General features: G+C 32.1%; 1 protein-coding gene and 1 non-coding gene across 14 annotated transcripts in view, besides 1 other annotated feature; both read left to right on the top strand.

Moving 5' to 3' along the window:
• FBXW7 (F-box and WD repeat domain containing 7) overlaps positions 1-5,803 on the top strand; it is a 215,549-nt gene that overhangs the window by 46,264 nt on the left and 163,482 nt on the right. The gene's annotated exons all lie outside the window — the stretch shown is intronic.
• MIR3140 (microRNA 3140) lies at positions 413-502 on the top strand. The gene has a single exon (NR_036092.1). It is a non-coding gene; the product is annotated as a microRNA 3140 (primary transcript).
• Positions 3,584-3,853: an enhancer, noted in NCBI's record as "active region_22031". NCBI's record gives its function as "activates an Ori minimal core promoter by ATAC-STARR-seq in GM12878 lymphoblastoid cells {active_cell/tissue: GM12878}" and the evidence as "EXISTENCE:reporter gene assay evidence [ECO:0000049][PMID:35858748]".

Below are 5,803 nucleotides of genomic sequence, written 5' to 3'. Positions count from 1 at the left end.
GTAGGCATGGGGGTGGTATTGAGGGGAGGGTAGTAAGCATAAAAGACAGTGCTCAGAAGAAGATAAGGGTGCCAGGTTTCAGTTCCAGGGATGTTCACAGTAAGGATTACAGTGGGCTAAATTTTAAGATTAATTTTATAAATTCTAAACACATCCTGTTGACTTTAACTGCAACTCTTAAAATGTATCAATAACATGACTTTATAATTCCTGGAAACTGATATTTTCCCAATACTTTGAAGAGGTTTAAAAATAGTTGACTAATATTAGAACCAATATTTCATGTATTGATTTTTCTCTTTAAGTGACAGTTAGTTTAGAAAATGCTAAACTTAAGTTAGCAGTATAGAGTAGGTATATAGTTATACTGAGTATGAATGTCTTGGTAGGCTTGGAAGCCTACCATTTATGTCCTCTTGAGGTACCTGAATTACCAAAAGCTTTATGTATTCTGAAGTTATTGAAAATAAGAGCTTTTGGGAATTCAGGTAGTTCAGGAGTGACTTTTCTAAAAAACAGAACTGAGCACCATACACTACTTCTTATAGCCTTTTAATTACTGCCAATTGCCTAGAATAAAGTTCAAATTCGAGGGCAACACAAACATGGCCCTTTGTGAACTGACAGACATTTCCTAATAATTCCTTACATACATGATACCCTTGAGCCTTACAGAATTAAGAATTTCTGAATTTACCTTGGTGTTTGATGCATCTGTGTTTCTATACGTGCTGTTTATTTACCTAAAATAGACTATTCTCTATTTAGCCTCAAAAGTCTCATGGAAGGTTTTAAAAAATCCTGTCTAAGCTCTGTTAATTATATTCTTTATACTATTATATTTAGTAGTTAATATTATAAACTACCTTACAGTAATTTTTACAGATACCTGGCTTACTCCCTAAATTGAGTTGCTTGAGGGCAGGAATTGTGTATTAATCTTTGCTGTATTTTCTTTGCCTTGCTTACTGTAGTTGATTGGTGCTAATTGAATAAATGAACATTTATGCTTTTCTTTTTGAGAATATTATATGGGTAGTTCCTTTAGTTGTTTAATAGAAGATAGCACAGACTTCTATACAGATTGGTTTTTATGGGAAAACACAAGAGAATAATTAATTAAAACATAATTTCATCTAGAAATTTCTGCAGTTGGAGCGAATATTTTTTAAGTTATTAACTTACCTAGAGTGGAAGATTGAATTTTTGAATGATAGTGTTTTAGTTATTAAAGTAAATGGCATGTAAGAGAACTTTTAAGTTCATGTGGCAAAACAGGGAAAAATTGCAAAGTTAGAGTCTGTAAGGTTTCTGATGTTTCATAGACTAACAAAAGGTTGCTTTATTAGCAGCATTAATGAACGAATCGCTTTATTGGCCTAGGCATACTGGTAGCATTGTCGTTCCAAAGAGCTGAGAGTTCTTATTTCAATTCATGATTATGTTAGACAAGTGAAGTGAAAGCCGTTGACCTTCTCTTAAGGAGAAAATAGAAAGTTTTTACAAATAGATTATAGATTAAAGCCTTTTAAGGAACATGATGAAGAACTAAATTACTGCTAAATCACTTGAAAAATTTATATTTTTTTATGCACCAGTCTTATAACAGTAGGTTTTTTATAGACCTATTAATTGATATTTAAAATAATAACTTTAATAGGATGATTTTGTAGAGTTAGTCAAAGTGATTGACAAAAGCAAATTATTAAAATAGTCAAACTTTCAATTCTCCAAAGAATGTTCAGTTTTAAAAGCAATATGAGATACAGGAAGTATTAAACTGGAGATGTAATGCCACTTGGATGGCATACTTTTAACATTATTTTTTATTTGTTTAAATGGAATGCATTTTGCTTATTAGAATCATTTTGGAAGTGCCAATTTGCTTCTGTTAATTTACATTAAAGATTAAAATAGGAACCACTGGTGACCTTCTAAATCAAAGTTCTTCAAAACGGTTGTTTTAAACAGCAAGAATTACAGAACTAAGTATTGTATAGCTATTAAAACTGAAAATTATGTAGCAGCAGTCCATTTTAAATTTAACAATTTTAAATGATACTTCAAAATATAAAAAATACAAGGAAGAATATAAGATGCTTATGTATCTGTACTGCCAAAATTTAACAAATGTTAACTTTTTGCTATCACTGTTTCAGAACTTTTTAAAATAAATTAAAAATATAATTGAAGATTACTAATCTCATTCTTTTGCCTCTCTTCTCAGAGGTAATTACTTTTCTAAAGGTATCCTGTAAGTTTTCAATACTTTTTACCACATATTTGTATAAAAAGATAAACAGTACTGATTTCCTTTTAAAATGTGAATAATAATATACTGTTGGCATAACTTTTTAACTTGCTTTTTTCACTCAGTGTTTATTTACATCAAGATTTATTCATGTTGATATTTGTATGTACTTAAAGTTTGTTTATTTTATCCTCTGAATTATTAGTTTGGTCCATTATTTATGATGTTTAGTTTGATTACTTGGTTAAGGTGGTGTGACCTGATTTCTCTATTGTAAAAGTATCCTTTTCCCCTTGATAATTAATCATTAATCTGTGGGGTAATGCCTTGAGACTGAGTAAACATTGTTTCTCAACAGCCTTTCACCCAGTGTTTTTAACATCCATTATTGATTTATGCCTGAATTATTGGTTACATTGATGCTTGCAAAATGATTTTCTACATCTATTATTCTTTCCACATTTATTAGCTGGCATTCTTCTTTCTGTAAAGGAGTTTCTGTCCTTTCACTAAGGGCTCATGGTTTCTTCATTAATTCGGTGAACTAAAATCCATTATTGTTATGTAGTCATGCACTGCATATACGACATTGATCCCATGAGATTATAATGGAGCTGAAAAATTTCTATCGCATAGTGACGTTGTAGCTGTTATAACATGTTAGGACTAACGTCACAACCAACATATTACATGTTTGTAGTGATGTTAGTGTAAGTCAAATCTACTGTGCTGCCAGTCTAAAAGTATAGCACATATAATTGTGTACAGTACATAATACTTGATAATAATAATAAACAGCTATGTTAACGGTTTATGTATTTACTATGCTATACTTTTTGTTGTTATTTTGAATGTACTTCTACTTATTAAAAAAAAAAGTTAACTGCAAAACAGCCTCAGGCAGTTCCTTCAGGACGTACTCCAGAGACATTGTTATTATAGGAGATGACAGCTCTGTGCATGTTATTGTCCCTGAAGACCTTCCAGTGAGACAGTATGTGGAGGTGGAAGACAGTGATACTGATGATCCTGACCCTGTGTAGGGCTAGTCTAATGTGTTTGTTTGTGTCTTAGGTTTTAGCAAAACAGTTTTAAAAGTAAAACAGGAATTTTTTAAAATAGAAAAGGCTTGTAAAATAAAGATAAAAGGAAAGAAAATATTTTTGTGCAGCTGTACAATATGTTAGTTTTACGCTAAATGTTATTACAAAAGTCAGAAAAGTTTAAAAACTAAAAAGTTTATATGAGCTAAGGTTTATTATTGAAGAAAGAAAATGTTTAAAAATAGATGTAGTGTGGTTTGAGTGTATATTTACAAAGCCTACAGCCGTGTGCAGTAACGACCTAGGCCTTCACATTCACTCTTCACTCAATCATTAACTCACCCAGAGCAGCTTCCAGTCCTGTAAGCTCCATTCATAGTAAGTGCCCTATATAGGCATATGATTTTAAAAAATCTTTTATACTGTATTTTTACTGTACCTTTTCTATGTCTAGATATTCTCAGACGCACCATGTTACAGTTACCAGGCAGTATTCAGTACAGTAATATGGTATACAGGTTTGTAGCCTAGGAGCAATGGGCTATACCGTGTAGGCTTGTGTAAATACACTCTGTGATGTTAGCACAGTGAGGGAATAGCCTAACAAACACATTTCTCAGAAGATATCCCTGTGGTTATGTGACGCATGACTGTGTATCCTTTGGTGACTCAAATTGTTAAAATTTAGCCAGCGAGAACTCAATCAGTCTGGTTTCTGTTTCTTTGACATGCCCCCTCATTTTTATAGCACCAGTTTGCTTTGTGGCACAACAAAACATTCTCTCCTTACCTTATGGTTTTCTTACCCCAGACCTGGACTTGGCTATTTTACCAAAAGTTCTTGTTTCTCTTAGTGGGGAATGGTATTTGGAAGCCAACATCATGGATGCATTACTGGGTGTCATTGCTTCTATTGGTTCTTTTCATTAGACAGAATAAGAAAATATACTTTTAAAAACTAGTGATATTTGAATTCCTAGTGACACCAAGGTTCTTTTCTTTCCTTGTTTCATATTCCTCTTCCATAATGAAGATCCAGTTTACCAATAACATCAATATATGTTTATTCATTTGCTCTGTCTTATACATGATATAACATTGGAATTACTATAGCAATACCACTACTAATAATAATCTCAATAAAGTTTAAGATTTCTATGCAGTTTTTTATTTATAGCGTATAGCCCAGTGAAGGTATATAGTCAGATCGCTATGCTTATAGTTATTTTAATTATATTTTTCACATAGGCAATTTGAAACTTTTTCTAATAGGAAGGTTAAGCCTATTTACTTATCTTGACATAACTAGTATGTTTAATCTAACTGATATGTTGTATTTACTGTTGTTTTATGTTATATATGTTTTTCTTTTACTCTTTTTTAAAAAGTTATTTTTACTAATACAAAAATCTTCCTTTCTCTAGATATTTAGAATGTTGGTCTTAGCTCTTATAGTTTCCCAGTCTTTTTGGTATTTTTGTTGTCATTACTATGTTTAATTTTGTTAACTAGAATTCATGTTTTCTTTTCTTCATCCATTTAATTGGGCTTTATACTTTTTTTTTTTTTTTTTGAGACAGAGTCTCGCTCTGTCACCCACACTAGAGTGCAGTGGCGCGATCTCAGCTCACTGCAGCTTCTGTCTCCCAGGTTCAAGTGATTCTCCTGCCTCAGCTTCCCAAGTAGCTGGGATTACAGGTGCTTGCCACCATGGCTGGTTAATTTTTGTATTTTTAGTAGAGACAGGGTTTCGCCATGTTGGCCAGGCTGGTCTCGAACTCCTGACCTCAGGTGATCCACCCACCTTGGCCTCCCAAAGTGCTGGGATTACAGGCATGAGCTACCGTACCCATTCTATATATTCCTTTGCATAAATGTTGTGTTCTGAGGAAAATTTGTGTCTGAGCATTTAATAATTTAAAAAATTACCATGTGAGTGGATTTATTTTATATGAATAATGTGCCACATGTAAGTTGTTCTGCAGTTGATTTTCCCTTTTTGTGGAGCTTTTACAATATTGTTAGTATGTTTACTTGTCCCTTTTTCCCCTTGTATGTGTAGCCAAGTAATTATAAAAAATGGTGCACTTTGCCATATCTGAGCTTCTCTTTTTCCCCTCAAGTAGATACTGTGCATTTGAACTGCAAAAAGGGTCATATTCTTGCTTTATCTATAATCTCTTTTAAAGGCAAAGGCTGATGGTTACTTTTTCTTTAATAAGAATCTTGATTTTTCATTTTGTATATTTGATATTTATCATTTTAAGAAAAAAAAATCCTCTATACATAGTTGTTAGAAATTTATGTAGAATGGATGTTGGAACCCAATCATAAGGCTGTAAAACCATAAAATAAGTAGTAATAAATTTTAAAAAATGAATAGGATTTGTATGAAGAAAATAACAACACTTCATTCTAGGATCAAACAAATGAAGAGAGAGCTATTTTTCAGAATGAAAAACCAAATAGTGTTGCATGTAGACTCTATTCAAAGTTCTAGTCTGTAAAA

The sequence above is a fragment of the Homo sapiens genome, chromosome 4 (genome assembly GCF_000001405.40).
Source record: "Homo sapiens chromosome 4, GRCh38.p14 Primary Assembly".
In the NCBI taxonomy this organism is placed as follows: Eukaryota; Metazoa; Chordata; class Mammalia; order Primates; family Hominidae; genus Homo; species Homo sapiens.
The sequence above is the reverse complement of the archived record's forward strand: the minus strand, read 5'-3'. Positions and strand labels throughout refer to the sequence as shown.